We start from the raw sequence: 16,753 nt of genomic DNA on the forward strand, positions 1-16,753 counted from the left end.
GTTTTTTGTGTCTCTATTTCCTTCAGTTCTGCTCTGATTTTAGTTATTTCTTGCCTTCTGCTAGCTTTTGAATGTGTTTGCTCTTGCATTTCTAGTTCTTTTAATTGTGATGTTAGGGTGTCAATTTTGGATCTTTCCTGCTTTCTCTTGTGGGCATTTAGTGCTATAAATTTCCCTCTACACACTGCTTTGAATGCGTCCCAGAGATGCTGGTATGTTGTGTCTTTGTTGTCGTTGGTTTCAAAGAACATCTTTATTTCTGCCTTCATTTCGTTACGTACCCAGTAGTCATTCAGGAGCAGGTTGTTCAGTTTCCATGTAGTTGAGCGGTTTTGAGTGAGATTCTTAACCCTGAGTTCTAGTTTGATTGCACTGTGGTCTGAGAGACAGTTTGTTATAATTTCTGTTCTTTTACATTTGCTGAGGAGAGCTTTACTTCCAAGTATGTGGTCAATTTTGGAATAGGTGTGGTGTGGTGCTGAAAAAAATGTATATTCTGTTGATTTGGGGTGGAGAGTTCTGTAGATGTCTATTAGGTCTGCTTGGTGCAGAGCTGAGTTCAATTCCTGGGTATCCTTGTTGACTTTCTGTCTCGTTGATCTGTCTAATGTTGACAGTGGGGTGTTAAAGTCTCCCATTATTAATGTGTGGGAGTCTAAGTCTCTTTGTAGGTCACTCAGGACTTGCTTTATGAATCTGGGTGCTCCTGTATTGGGTGCATATATATATTTAGGATAGTTAGCTCTTCTTGTTGAATTGATCCCTTTACCATTAAGTAATGGCCTTCTTTGTCTCTTTTGATCTTTGTTGGTTTAAAGTCCGTTTTATCAGAGACTAGGATTGCAACCCCTGCCTTTTTTTGTTTTCCATTTGCTTGGTAGATCTTCCTCCATCCTTTTATTTTGAGCCTATGTGTGTCTCTGCACGTGAGATGGGTTTCCTGAATACAGCACACTGATGGGTCTTGACTCTTTATCCAATTTGCCAGTCTGTGTCTTTTAATTGGAGCATTTAGTCCATTTACATTTAAAGTTAATATTGTTATGTGTGAATTTGATCCTGTCATTATGATGTTAGCTGATTATTTTGCTCGTTAGTTGATGCAGTTTCTTCCTAGTCTCGATGGTCTTTACATTTTGGCATGATTTTGCAGCGGCTGGTACCGGTTGTTCCTTTCCATATTTAGCACTTCCTTCAGGAGCTCTTTTAGGGCAGGCCTGGTGGTGACAAAATCTCTCAGCATTTGCTTGTCTGTAAAGTATTCTATTTCTCCTTCACTTATGAAGGTTAGTTTGGCTGGATATGAAATTCTGGGTTGAAAATTCTTTTCTTTAAGAATGTTGAATATTGGCCCCCACCCTCTTCTGGCTTGTAGAGTTCCTGCCGACAGATCTGCTGTTAGTCTAATGGGCTTCTCTTTGAGGGTAACCCGCCCTTTCTCTCTGGCTGCCCTTAAGATTTTTTCCTTCATTGCAACTTTGGTGAATCTGACAATTATGTGTCTTGGAGTTGCTCTTCTCGAGGAGTATCTTTGTGGTGTTCTCTGTATTTCCTGAATCTGAATGTTGGCCTGCCTTGCTAGATTGGGGAGGTTCTCCTGGATAATATCCTGCAGAATGTTTTCCAACTTGGTTCCATTCTCCCTGTCACTTTCAGGTACACCAATCAGACATAGATTTGGTCTTTTCACATAGTCCCATATTTCTTGGAGGCTTTGCTCGTTTCTTTTTATTCTTTTTTCTCTAAACTTCCCTTCTTGCTTCATTTCATTCATTTCATCTTCCATCAATGGTATCCTTTCTTCCAGTTGATCGCATCGGCTCCTGAGGCTTCTGCATTCTTCATGTTGCTCTCGAGCCTTGGTTTTCAGCTCCATCAGCTCCTTTAAGCACTTCTCTGTATTGGTTATTCCTGTTATACATTCTTCTAAAGTTTTTTCAAAGTTTTCAACTTCTTTGCCTTTGGTTTGAATGTCCTCCTGTAGCTCAGAGTAATTCCATCGTCTGAAGCCTTCTTCTCTCAGCTCCTCAAAGTCATTCTCCATCCAGCTTTGTTCTGTTGCTGGTGAGGACCTGCGTTCCTTTGGAGGAGGAGAGGTGCTCTGCTTTTTAGAGTTTCCAGTTTTTCTGCTGTGTTTCTTCCCCAAGTTTGTGGTTTTATCTACTTTTGGTCTTTGATGATGGTGATGTACAGATGGGTTTTTGGTGTGGATGTCCTTTCTGTTTGTTAGTTTTCCTTCTGACAGACAGGACCCTCAGCTGCAGGTCTGTTGGAGTACCCGGCCGTGTGAGGTGTCAGTCTGCCCCTGCTGGGGGTGCCTCCCAGTTAGGCTGCTCGGGGGTCAGGGGTCAGGGACCCACTTGAGGAGGCAGTCTGCCCGTTCTCAGATCTCCAGCTGCATGCTGGGAGAACCACTGCTCTTTTCAAAGCTGTCAGACAGGGACATTTAAGTCTGCAGAGGTTACTGCTGTCTTTTTGTTTGTCTGTGCCCTGCACGCAGAAGTGGAGCCTATAGAGGCAGGCAGGCCTCCTTGAGCTGTGGTGGGCTCCACCCAGTTCAAGCTTCCCGGCTGCTTTGTTTACCTAATCAAGCCTGGGCAATGGCGGGCGCCCCTCCCCCAGCCTCGCTGTCGCCTTGCAGTTTGATCTCAGACTGCTGTGCTAGCAATCAGCGACACTCCGTGGGCGTAGGACCCTCCGAGCCACGCACAGGATATAATCTCCTGGTGCGCTGTTTTTTAAGCCCATCGGAAAATCGCAGTATTCGGGTGGGAGTGACTCGATTTTCCAGGTGTCGTCTGTCACCACTTTCTTTGACTAGGAAAGGGAACTCCCTGACCCCTTGCACTTCCCAATGCCTCACCCTGCTTTGGCTCGCACACGGTGCCCGCACCCACTGACCTGGGCCCACTGTCTGGCACTCCCTAGTGAGATGAACCTGGTACCTCAGATGGAAATGCAGAAATCACCCGTCTTCTGCGTTGCTCACGCTGGGAGCTGTAGACCGGAGCTGTTCCTATTCTCTGGGCACACTTTAAAACCATTGTCCTCCAGTGACTTCATAAAAAAGGTTAATAAATAAAAAAGTTTGAAAAAAAAATCCTTAATCCTCATCTCCCTAGCTTTATATCCTATTATTCTGGGTAAGTGCTATGTGTGAAAACATGCTCAGTTTCAATTTAGCTAAACCTCTGACTCACAGGGAACAGCTTTTAAATTGTTCATACAGTTCTTATCAATCAGCTGGTTGTGTGTAGAGGAAATAGGAATACGGAAACTTAATCACTTCTACTGTGAAAAATCACTGTGGCTCCCTGATTAGAGGAAAAAATCAGATCCTAGAAGGCCTTTCCTCCAGATTCCCACTATTTCCTGGCTGTTTCATTTAAATCACAACATTGTTGAGCTGACCTATAACTTCACGAGTTTTCCAGGCAAGGGTGGATGTTATGAATACATGTCTTAGGAGAGTCTCAAAGCCTAGTGGCAAATATTCCATCACTAGAAACTGATGTTACAAGCATGCTATTTGCTTGTCGTAAGATGGGCTTCCTTGGCAAACTGGTCAACCAGAAATGCATTAATGGCAAAAGGCTGGAGTCAAGGCACAAATTTTAGGGGAACAAGTCATGGTATTTTTATGTGTTACCTCTGCTCCTCCTTTTTGCTATCTACTATTGTGAGAAGTCAGGGACCCTGAACGGAGGGACCGGCTGAAGCCATGGCAGAAGAACTTGGATTGTGAAGATTTCATGGACATTTATTAGTTCCCCAAATTAACACTTTTATAATTTCTTACGCCTGTCTTTACTGCAGTTTCCTATGCCTGTCTTTACTTTAATCTCTTAATCCCATCATCTTTGTAAGCTGAGGAGGATGTATGTCACCTCAGGACCCTGTGATGATTGCATTAACTGCAAAATTGTTTGTAGAGCATGTGTTTTTGAACAATATGATATCTGGGCACCTTGAAAAAAGAACAGGATAACAGCAATGTTCAGGAAACAAGAGAGATAACCTTAAACTCTGACTGCTGGTGAGCTGGGCAGAACAGAGCCATATTTCTCTTCTTTCAAAAGCAAATGGGAGAAATATCGCTGAATTCTTTTTCTCAGCAAGGAACATCCCTGAGAAATAGAATGCGTCCCTGAGGGTAGGCCTCTAAAATGGCTGCTTCGGGGGCAGCCGTCTTTTATGGTCGAAGCTGTAGGGATGAAATAAGCCCCAGTCTCCTGTAGCACTCCCAGGCTTATTAGGACGAGGAAATTCCTGCCTAATAAATTTTGGTCAGACCAGTTGTCTAATCTCAAACCCTGTCTCCTGATAAGATGTTATCAATGACAATGCATGCCTGAAACTTCATTAGCAATTTTAATTTTGCCCGGGTCCTGTGGTCCTGTGATCTCGCCCTGCCTCCATTTGCCTTGTGATATTCTATTACCTTGTGAAGCATGTGATCTCTGTGACCCACACCCTTTTCGTAGACTCCCTCCCCTTTTGAAAATCACTAACAAAAACTTGCTGGTTTTACGGCTCAGGGGGCATCACAGAACCTGCCGACATGTGATGTCTCCCCCAGACACCCAGCTTTAAAATTTCTCTCTTTTGTACTCTGTCCCTTTATTTCTCAGACTGGCCGACACTTAGGGAAAATAGAAAAGAACCTACATGACTATCAGGGGCAGGTTCCCCCGATAATCTACATTTTGAATGCTTTTCTTTCAAGCTTTGTGTGATTGGACATAGACCTTATGAGATTTGCATTAGTTGGACTTCATCAGAAATTCATTCACATCTGACTAACATAGATGATTGCAATGTAGTGCTCTTGGGTTGAAACTAGCTCTTGTTATACTGGCTTACCTTGCACCAAGAAAATATGAATAATGATCCAGTAGAATGTAGTAAATAGATATCTACTAACCATAAAAGGATTCACCAATATTTAGGGTAAAAGAGACTAAAAGATTTAGACTGGCCATGTAGGTAGGTAGGCAAGGTAGGTAAAGTAGGTAGAGAGGTAAGTAGACACACATAATCAACTCACTGAGGTCTAATTGTACGCCATACAGTATATCCATTTTAAGTGTAGAATACACATTTTTTGAACAATAACTTTTAGCTTTATAGAGACCAAAAGATGTCATGGAGAGCTCTTTGCTCACCCTCTTCCACAGGGAAGCTCAGAGAAGTTGAACCAACCCACACAGATGGCCAGTGGCTAAGTGAGGAGGGCATGCCCAGTTTGGAGGTTCTAATGAAAATCAGCCCATTGATTTGCCATTATGAGTAGAAACTCACCCTTATGGGCAGAAAAAAAGACTTCACATAGCAGCCAGTGTACATACAACAGCCCTGGGTTCCTGCCCAGTTAAAAATGAACATCCAACTGTGGGCTGCAGAGATAAGAAAAGGAAGTGAAGAAGTGTCTTAGGAACGGTGGCATGAAGGGGGATGAACAGTTATGCAGAACGAAGGACTGAGAGGGTTTATTGACAACTGGAAGTCTGAGGTGTTAAAAGTAATTCCAACCAATGTTAGCGTTTAGATGCTGACAAATAAAATTTATAAATGACTTTTTAAACTGCTTCCTCGAGCAACAAGAGCTGTTATTGTCACATCGATTTTGAAATTAAATGTTATGGAATTTCCTTGCTTTAATGAGAAGGCAGATCCAACTGGTAAACAAAGTAATGATTAAGCAATTAAAAGAGTAAAACTGAGAAATAAAGTAACACTAATCTTAATCCTTAACCCAAATAGGCAGGTTTTGCTGATTTGCTTAAAAAAAAGATGCATGTTTATCTTGAGGTGAAAGTATTGAGAAGAGATGCTCACTAGGAATAAACTGCCCTCTGATAAGAGGGGAAAAGTCAATTAGTAATGTCATTTGTTTAAAACTCTGCCCGCACCTGGTTCTCATTTGTCCTCCAGCTGAGAAACCAAAGACAACTTCTTTTTATTGCTTGTGGTCAAACAGCAAGTTCATTTCGCCATGGGATGATCAAACGGCCAGCCTCCCCCAGCTTGGGAAGGTTTGCCTTTCACTTTCAACTTGTTCAATCATCATTAACTCTGAAAATTGTCACATTCCATTTGTGCAATGAAAATTTCATCACTGGTGACCGTTTGGGTGAAGTTTTTGTAGGCGAGGCCCTAAATCTTGTAGAGCACCTCACACATTCTCAAGGTCATTTGCCTTGTTTCCTTGTTTAATGACAGTTGCCTAAGATCCAGGAATGAGTCTGTGACCTGACCTCAGCAACTCTGAAGACCCCTGTGTATGTGGGTACATGTTACCCTCTCTGAGACTGAGAGAGATCACTGGGTGATTTGCCACATGGATTTCGTCTGAGAAAAATTAGGGTATGTACATGCATGTGTGCACACACAGATGCACACACACCCTCCTTTGTTATATATTACGTGCACATACACTGGGATTTTTACTGGGGAAACGCTAGTTAAAAAGATCGCTGGATAGAGTCTATTTCAAAGCAGGACTTCCTCACTGTGGGAAGCCAGCTTCCCTGGAGAGGCTGCAATATCAAATTGGGGAGGTTCCACAAAGTTTCTGGAAAGGAGAAATAAGCTCCTTTTTACTTTGCCATTAGGCTTGAGAAATTTTCAACTCCTTTGTTTATTATTTAATTATATTTGCCCCTCTACAGTTAAGTTCTAAAATGTTAAATCCCAATGAATCTGGCACAAGGCCAAATTCCCCACAGGCCCTTTCTGAATATGAATTTCTGAAAGTGGATGTCAAGTGGCAAGATGGCTAAATTAAGAGGTCACTAGATCTCGACTCTTAAGCAAAGCATGGAGTGTATTGGGGCAAGTCAAGTAAGTTTTGTGCCATTTGGCAAGTAAGTCATAACAGCTAAAACAGGCCCCGGTTATAGGTCTTGATTTAATTTTCAAGGTCAAACCCAAGAGAATGTATACACAGAGCTACAAAGCTCTCTAGCATCTTAAGCCTGGGTGCTAACACACTTATTAAATAGTCTACAAGAAGCGCTTCTTGATTTCCAGCACTAGTTTTCATTCCAGGGCTTCACTGAGTTAGCTGCTGAAATAAGGAGGTTAGGAGCAGGTCTGAATCATAGATACAATGTTTTGGCTCCCTTCAGCTAGCTCTGGCTTATAATATATTAAAATATTTACTGTTGCCAATATCCAACTTTTTTTTTTTTTTTTTTTTTTTTTGAGACGGAGTCTTGCTCTGTCACCCAGGCTGGAGTGCAGTGGTGCGATCTGGGCTCACTGCAAGCTCCGCCATCCAGGTTCTTGCCATTCTCCTGCCTCAGCCTCCTGAGTAGCTGGGACTACAGGCACCCGCCACCATGCCCGGCTAATTTTTTGTATTTTTAGTAGAGACGGGGTTTCACAGTGTTAGCCAGGATGGTCTTGATCTCCTGACCTTGTGATCCGCCCACCTCGGCCTCCCAAAGTGCTGGGATTACAGACATGAGCCACCGCGCCCAGCCAAGAGTTCAATAACATTAGGTTATTGGCTGAAAAAAGTTTGTGTGTAATTTCCCAAGTGAGATATTTTCATTCAAACCGTTGCATATGTGCCCTGTATTCTTTTAAGTGTTTTATAATATTAATTTCCTTAATCCTTATAGTAATTCCAAAAGGTAAAGTAACAAACCCGAGGTCACAGAACCCAGGACATCTGGGTCTATATCCATTAAACTATGGAGCTATACTTTTTCATGAAGACTTCTCAGGATATGCAACCCAAATGCCCATTTATCTCCTGCTTCAAGTTGGGCAGATGGTGCGCAAGGAGAAAGATGTTTGATCTGTTGGTTCCATTTCACAGGGATTGAAAAATGGAGATCAAGTCTCTAAACTGGCCCTTTCTCCTTATACTAATTTATTCTGCTTTCCTTCTACTGCTGGATCCCAAGTGAGCTAGCAAGCTCTCCCTTCTCTGTGTCTGTCTGTCTACATCTCTCTTTCTCAAACACACACACACACACACACACACACACACACACACACACACACAGTCACATAGCTATTACCGTGCTTCAGTAAAGCTGTACAGGGCTTGTGATCCAGGCATAAAAACAGACATCATTTGCTCATTAGAGCTAAGTTTTCAGGACGTGCCCCACTTACTGACCTCCACTAACGGCCTGGGTTTGCGCTCGACTGCAAACCTGAAGTGGCAGAGTTCACAGTAGCTGGTGTTTGAGGATGACAGCCAGTGCTCCAGGCAGCTCCGATGAATTGTCCCCAAGGTCCCTGTACATTCACATGGAGAGAGCAAGTCCTCTTGGCTGCTGCCCTCGTGGCAGATCCTGCACATCGGCCGGTCATTGAAGGGGCTGCAAGAGAAGGAGGGGCACCTGCTGGTCACTGGGCTGGAAACCTCCACCAAGTGGATGGCCCTCTAGCTCTTGTCCTTTGGGCCCTCCCCAGAGGCAGCTGCTTTAAGACCTCTTAGATCTACACTTGACCTTGGCAATGGGGCAAATGATTCTGGGCACTCTAGAGCACTTGGGTCACCTACTTGTGACAACACAAAGAAATAGGGGATTGCCAATATCAAAGTAGCTGGGTGTGGCCCAGGATCAAAAGTGAGTGAAAACAAGCAGTGGATATTTTTGCCTTGAATATAAATGTAGTTCATGTCAACTACTAATCCAAAAATCATAACCATCCTTCATCATCAAGAAGAGAAATTGTTTGAAATGACAAATTGAATCTTTCGGACCAAACCAAGACATGTTTGCATATCCAGAGGTTCTTCTCATTTCTCTTTTCAATAGGGTGGGAGAATGAGAGGAGGGAAGTTAGCCAGCAACCAACCCTGCAGCCACTACACAGAACTGCAGTCTGAGCCACAGCACAAAGCTGAGTGGTGGATTGTCCTTTGAGCTTTCACAGGATGCTCTATGGGATGCCAAAGATACCAAACTGAAAGCGAGTAATGAGTATGTCCCACTGAGGTAGCCTCAGTCTAGAGTTCTGCCTTTAATTTGGAAAAACCACTCCTACACATTTCATAAAGGCAGCTTAGTGTAGTTAGGGGTTCATAGTGCAGGCTCCAGAATCTGGCTGGCTGGGCTCAGACCTTAACTCTGCTGTCTATTACCTGGATAACTCTGGGCAAGTAACTTCATCTCCCCATACTTTAGTGTCCTTATCTCTAAAATGGGCACAAAAATGGTGCCTTCTTCATATGATGACAGTGAGCATGTGAAAAGATAGCCCAGATTAGAAGCTTAGAATAGGGACCAGCATACAGCAAATGCCTAGTTAATGCTAGCTACTATCTCTCAAGGAAAATCTCAGGCCAGAGAAAATCAAATAACTTGGCCCTCATCAGGTAAGTCAGTGGCCAATGGAAAGAGGATGGCCTCACTGCTTGGGAGGTACCCTGCCCTGGGAGAGGACCATGCCTCTCTGATGGATGTCTTATGTTGCTTGTGCTATTCTTCACTGGGCAACAGATTTTAAAATGTGTCCTCATGATATGTGACAATCCTAGGACCAGCCTCTTTACCTGCCCTCCCTTGCCTCTCTGTATGCCTCCCAAAGATGACAGTGACCCAGGCACATGCCCATTCATCCTCCTGAACACTATCTTTGGTCCAAATGGAAATAGCCATGGAAGACTGCTGTTTCCCAAAGGCCTTTCTGAGAATGATCCTGGGAATGAGTGAAGGCCAAAAGGAGATCAAAAAAGGAAAGGATCTCCCTCCCACTAGCCTGAAAGGCCTACTTGTGCCCACGAGTGGGAAAAGAAAGCTGACAAGTTTTTTTTTAACTCATGATTCTGGGCCTCCTTCATTTACACTGAGCCTGTAAAACTCTGAAACCTGGTTTACAGTACCGCATGGTGGGAAAGCAGGTAAAAATACCTGACAGACAGACAGACAGACACACACACACACACACACACACACACACACACACACACAGAGGCTCACAGGTCTCAACCACATCAACCATAGCCTGCTCTTCCTGGTCAAGTGAGCTGTTTGATGCCTGCAAGGGTGAGTGGGGCACATCAGTCACCCAGTCTCAGTTCGCAGAGGACCGAAGATAGTCACTGCCTCATCCTGTTCTGAGTCCTAACCAATTGTTAAAAGTTCTCCAAGAGTCAGAAATTACATATTAAAGGTTTTTCTATTTTTTCCTTTGCACTAGCAGCACAGATTTTAAATGGAGGGCATATGAGCAGTGTTTACAACAGCATGGGAGTGTGATTCAGTGTCTGAGGGCCACCATGCCCAGGGTGGGATGCCACTGCACCAGAGGGGTTGACTGATCACTCAGACAGAGGTAAGAGAATAAGGTGTGAATGACTGGTCCTATGTTAGAGGTCAGAAGTGTCAGCACTGACACTAGGGGGCAAATCCAATGTTGATCCACCTTTTAAATGCATAGGTTAGAAGTCCCACTTAACCATTCTGAGAAAAAGCTGGAGAAGCCAAGGAGTTCCTATTAGCCTGGCAGCCCATAGCTCCCTATCCAACAAGAGCACAAGAGGAGACAAAGTGCTGGTCAGGATAAGTGGTCTCCAAGCTGCTCAGAGCCTGCACTCGGGCTTTAGTTCACCACTTGGGAAGGCTCAGGAGGTTTTCACAATAGCACTTCATAGGGTAGAGTGTGCGTGAAGGGTCAGGGATGGGGGACCATTGAGGCTGAAGGAGAGGACAGCAGAAGAGACCTCCAAGTGATAAGAAGACACCCACCCAGAAAGTAGCCCTGGACAGCGCTTCCATCAGGCAATGCCAGTCCACATGCACACCAAGAATGTCACTTCAAAAGTTTTGCCCACAAATCCAATCACTTTGACTCAGTCGCCTGAAATCAGATACCTTCTTAATCCTGTTCCAATAGGACCACCTTTGTTACCTACTGGAGACAACAAGAGAGCATAACAATGTCAAAATAACAACCCCGTATCTTGTGGGTTCCTTCCCCTCCTGGCTCTTTGTAAATATGATTTGAGGGGAAATCTTGATAAGGTGAATTTTAGCTTTATATCCTATTGCTATAGAAACGGCAATAACAGAACTCGTGTAGTCTTTTTTTTTTTTTTCCAGCACCTCCTCTCACCTGACACAAAGACCTGAGCACTAATTACATTCCCATTAGCATTTTCCATCTGACAAAGAGTTCTCTGGATCAATTACAGATTCATTTATTTTAATTGTGGTACTACCTCTGGGTGGCAAGAGTCCGCACTACTGTTGACAGCAGCTGCCCGTCCTTGGCTGAAACTTGCATGACATACTGCGGCTGCCCATTCACTAGGCTGCCACAATCCTCCACCGTCTTCACCACGGGTGCAGCTGAGCTGGTGCAGTCTGGCAGGACTTCGGGCAGGTGACTGCAGCGGCTGGTTGTCATGGTAACAGACAGCAATTACTCTGCTAATGGCTTCCACATTCATACAGGATTTCCATCTAAGAGAGATCAGAAAACAGTTTACTTGGGCAGGGTGGCTAATAGAAAATGGAGAATTATGGGCCACCAACATCATCATCATGTCATTATTTAATACAAATAACAGGGGTAGCCTAGATGTGGCACATTATCTTGTTACTGTTTAATACAAGTGCACACACACACACACACACAGAGCCCACAAGAAACAGCAGATATGGTATGAATAAGACAGCAAGCATGTCCGTGTATATAAACATTTAGCAGCCCTGCTTTCCACGAGGGGACAGAATGATGACTCTGAGGCCCAGATCTGAAGAGAAGATAAGCAGTTCCCTGCTCTGTGCTAGAGAAGCAATAAGTTTTTGTTGACACTCTCTAAAAGTTACTAAAATCATTATTAAAAACATTCAGAACTATTTTTTCTGGTAAGCAATTTATTCTACATGCAGCTTCATTCTGAGATACTAAGATTAAAAGGAGAGAGAAAGAAGGAAGGAAAATAAAAATGAATTTGGCCAAGTATTAATAGTATGTTCTAGGACAATATTTGCCAAACATGAATCACTCAATGACTGTACCACCTTTCGACTTTTGCCATATCTGTTGCATAATAAAATTTTCTACTCAATACATCTTGAAATTAACTTCCTTTAAAAATGGAACCTATTTTAGCTTTGTCTTCAAGTTATTCATGAAATGAGTTTAATGAGCTTTTATTTTCTAATGAACGTGACAATAAATACGTTAGCATGATGTCTTGTTTGTGTACTACCTAAAATGCAGATGTATATGCATCATCATAGGGAAACACATAGGAGAACGTGAGAAAATAATGAATGAGATCTCTATCACCAATTAAACATAATCCATTACAAATAAGGGCCTTACCTCCTAGGCACATGGTTTATCATATAAACCGTGAGGAATTCTGCTCCCAATCTGTGTGGTGCAGGCTTGGGTCATGACCTCAAGTTCAAAGCACTCAGACCCACTGGAGTGAGGAACTCCACTGGATTCAATAATAGGTCAGCATGTGACACATAAGAAATAGAGGTTTTTACAGAAACTTGAAGGAAGAATTCTGTCCAAAGGTGAGATGACACAGTTTCATGGCTAGGAGTGCTAGCCTGCTCACCTCAAGCTCCCGAGCTCGACATGGCCTGGGCTCAGTAGACAGCAGCAGGATTAGTTGACAGACTGAGCTCACATCAAGAACCCATTTAGGTGGTCAAGGCTCAGACTTAAATAAATGAAATATCTTGTTATTTGCACAACCCAAAACCCCAAGAGGATTCCTGGAATTCTGCAAGGGGTTGTTTTCTCCCAGATATTTGTCTCTACTTCTTACATTTTCCTTGATCCCCATGGTTCTGGAAAACAGGATCTTCCCAACTTCCAGAACAATGTGCATCAACTGGATGTTCTCAGGCAAGAATGCAGTGTTTCCTGATGAAACTGACAGTTTCCCTCCCGACACGCACATGTCAAGCAGGCTTGACTGTCCAAAACAATCATCGGACGTGATTGTCATCCCTTCCTTGCTGCTGAGGTGTCTGGCTGGCTTTGCACCAGCAGCCTCCCTTTCCCACCCTCATTGGCTGCCTGGCGTCCTCTCAGGGTCTGCGTCTGCCTTTGCCCAGCAGCCCTTCTGAACCCACAGTGGGGAGACGGCTGTGGACTCCAGTCCTTGTCTGAGACCTGATGTGGGGGCACAGGCAGAGGCTGCCCCACTCATGCCATTTTCAAGACCAGCAATACTGAACATTCAGCACAGTCAGTTAGTTGGTATAGGTCAACTAACTGACTAGGTTAAATAGGATTTTTTGCTTTTTTTAAAAAATTACAAAGCAATTAGTATACGGTATGTTATAAAAACTATGGAAGAGCACAAAGAACACAATAAAACTCACTCATAATCCCACCATTCAGAAAACCCCAGTAAATTTTTTGGGTAGATATCTTCTTTTTATTTTTTTGAAAGGGTTGGCAGGGTGCAGTTGATTTGTGACTGGGGCCAGACAGTTGTTTTGTTTTGTTTTTAAAAACTGAGTTATGGTAGCTTTCAGACCGAAAAACAAAGAGATGTTAAAAGACCGTCCTCTTCTAAAACTGTGCATAACTACTCTCCTCTGGCCTGCCCTTACAAAACTCCATTGACATGATTTTAAATTCTCATAATGCTTCACAGTCACAAAGTGTAACTTCCTGGCACAGCTCTCTTGCTTCACAAGGCAGCCATAGATTAAGAGCCAGGGGTGTATTGGCAGGAAAAGCAGACACAGTGACCTTCTTGCCGCATGGAATCATTATGTCTAGATGCACTCTGAGAGTCTATTTTCGGGTTTTGCATAACTCCAGCTCAGAGGGCCAAACACTCCCTCCCTCTACTTGATGGAACTGGAAGACGGTAAGGAGGGGGTGCGCAGAGTAAATAATGGGACCCAGGGCTGCCAGTAGTTAGGCTACCCTCAGTGAATTGCCTGTCGCCCAGGCATATAATAGCCCCAAGTTCACACACTTGTAACCTAGATTAAGTCCTCATCAAAGGAAGTAGTTCTAAATGTGTGACCTAAATCCGCAATAAAATGTCCTTAAAAATATTCTAGAAGCAGAGCTTCCCTTAAATTCATTTTATATATGTAATTTCACTTCTGCATAATTTCATTTCTTCTTTCACAGGTAAAAGGGATATTATTTGCCACCTGATCAGTTTATTCCATTCGTAGTGGGTGCTGGGCACTGAGTTTAGCATAAAAGAACAAAAGAAACCACACCTTGCCTTCTCCTACAAGCAAGCCCTGGCTCTTTCTCTTGGGCCATATCTGCAGAACCCTGCATCCAAGATCCTCTAAGCCCTAGCTCAATTTAGGACCTAACTAAAATGATAGTCCGGTCCAGCATTCCCTGAAAAACATACCAGCATGTCTTACGTATACCACACATCAGAATAACCTTAAGATTCTAAGACTGGCATGCCAGCAATGAGTCCCAACAGCCCTGAAAGACCGTGGACTTGAATTAATGGGCTAAGAGGGATTACACAAAGCATTAGCACTCTTGAACATGGTGGGGATGGCTGAGTTGGTTCTAATCTCAGAAGAGTGGATCTAACCACCTACTCAGGTGGCGGAGGAGGAAAGGAAGCACACTCTGCCCTGATCTCAGTGAAAGGGAAGCCCAGAGGCCTAGATGCAGGCATGGGGCAGGCAGGAGCGGACCTCACAAGCTGCATGCACCAACTGGCATGCATATGTTGCACCTGGGGCAGTGACAAATGGCCCACTGCATTTTCCTTGTCTAGTTCAAAGCCACCTGGGAAAACAGCAGGCTGTTGCCGAGGATGCTAGAAAGAGCTGAGCTGTTGGTTTGCAGTCGAGCATGGGTCTTCTATTGAGCTTTCTGCAAAATTTCAAGCACTATCTGACTGCTTTCTTATCAATGCCAGTGCACTGCTCTTGTGGTAAAGTACTTCCCAGTCTACCCAAGAATTCTCTCAGGGAGGGAGCGGTGTATGTGCAAACTTAAAACATCAAACGGCACTGGTGGGATGGGTCCTTTGCTGGCCAGGCTTGACACCTTGCATAATTTCTTTCTCAGGCTGAGAATAAAACATGATTTGGCACTGGCCAAACTCAGCTGCACACAGTGGGAGGAGCGGGAGTAGGTGGATAAGAGGGAGACAGTGAAAACAGAGGGGGTGGGCAAATAAATGAAAGCCTGATTAGGGAATTGTTAAAATAAAAAGGCTTGTCTGTTAAACTGTGACCCCTGAAAAGGACAGGGTACAGGTTTCACAAAAGCAGGACACCTAACCAGGCAGCAGCGATTCATTGCTGCGTTTCTGAATAGGTTGCCACTGGTAAGTGATTTCCATGGGAACATGGCTGGCATAACGAGGATGCGGCCACAGGTCGTGGGGGAAGGGAAGGGAAGCAGGCTCTGCTCACCTCTGCAGCCCCTCTGCCTCAGCAGCCCCCAAACCTCCAGGAGAATCATGAGTTAGGGAAAAAGCTCTGTTGTTGGAGGCACAACACCAAAGCCTACACTCTGGCTTTCTACTCACCAAGGTAAATCACTCAGCCTCTCAGACTTTTCCTGAGATTTCCTGAATATTTGAAATTAGGATACTAACACATCCTGAGCCACCTCACCTGGTTGTTTGTGAGGTCTAAAACAAGATAATACATATGAATTCACTTTGTAAGCAGGAACATGCCATGTACAGAGAAGTTTGAACTTTATTATTATGTTAACCTTCATTTCTGCTCTTTTTCTAGCCTGGGCTACATCTCATTTCTGTCTTTTATTTATTTATTTATTTATTTATTTATTTATTTATTTATTATTTATTTTTGAGTCGGAGTCTCACTCTGTCGCCCAGGCTGGAGTGCAGTGGCGTGATCTCCGCTCACTGCAAGCTCCGCCTCCTGGGTTCATGCCATTCTCCTGCCTCAGCCTCCCGAATAGCTGGGACTACAGGTGCATGCCACCATGCCTGGCTAATTTTTTATATTTTTAGTAGAGACGGAGTTTCGCCATGTTAGCCAGGATGGTCTCGATCTCCTGATCTCGTGATCCGCCCACCTCGGCCTCCCAAAGTGCTGGGATTACAGGCGTGAGCCACTGCGCCCAGCCTCATTTCTGTCTTTTAAAACTGTCTTTCCTCATGTCTGGTCAACCTCTACCACGATGTACCTTTTGCATCACACTTGAACTCTGACATTGCCCATGCCATCTCTCTTGGCTAGGGAGAACAGAGGGAGCCTCATCCTTGCATGTCCACTTCTCATTTTCCCTGACCCCACGGCCTTCAGATCTGGAAGATAGGTGTCATTCTTCCATGAAAATGCTTAATAAAGATATATGTGCAGCAAACCACCATGGCACACATTTACCTATGTAACAAACATGTACATCCTGCACATGTACCCCCGAACTTAAAATAAAAGTTGAAAAAAGAAAAACAAAGATATATGAGGAAAAGCTGCTATGATGTTGGAGATACGTGGGTCTATTTGTCAGAGCAGCAGTTATTATCTTAACTAATCCAGCATGTGATAAATACACTAGAAAATAAAACACAGGCCAATCCCAAGGCCCTTTTCAGGCCTACTTGTATCAGAACGACATTTTCAGTGCCAAGTCAACATTAGTCTCTTAGATGGAGGTCAAGAAGTGGGAGAAATTTGTTATACTGGCACCTCTATTTGGGTAGAAAAATGACTCAAAAGGTTTAAAGGTGAAAATGAGAGCAGGAGAATGTGAGTGCTGGCTGGCACTGACATGGTCATGTGAGCTGCCTGGACAGCGGTCTAAGCAGGCCCTAACTTGGAGGCAG

At 43.9% G+C, this 16,753-nt stretch overlaps 1 protein-coding gene across 3 annotated transcripts in view; it reads right to left on the reverse strand.

Annotated features, from left to right (window-relative positions):
* MARCHF3 (membrane associated ring-CH-type finger 3) overlaps positions 1–16,753 on the reverse strand; it is a 162,845-nt gene that overhangs the window by 39,082 nt on the left and 107,010 nt on the right. For 2 of the 3 annotated variants that reach the window (NM_178450.5, XM_011543131.4), the window contains exons 2-3: positions 11,189–11,432; positions 8,135–8,339 (exon numbers count right to left, since the gene is read on the reverse strand). In NM_178450.5, coding sequence (NP_848545.1) covers positions 8,135–8,339; positions 11,189–11,376 — 393 coding nt within the window. In that variant the 5' untranslated portion in view covers positions 11,377–11,432. Of the gene's footprint in view, positions 1–4,603; positions 5,397–8,134; positions 8,340–11,188; positions 11,433–16,753 lie in introns of those variants that run through there. The other variant, XM_017009015.2, reaches the window with a different exon arrangement.

The sequence above is a fragment of the Homo sapiens genome, chromosome 5, assembly GCF_000001405.40.
Source record: "Homo sapiens chromosome 5, GRCh38.p14 Primary Assembly".
Classification (NCBI taxonomy): Eukaryota; Metazoa; Chordata; class Mammalia; order Primates; family Hominidae; genus Homo; species Homo sapiens.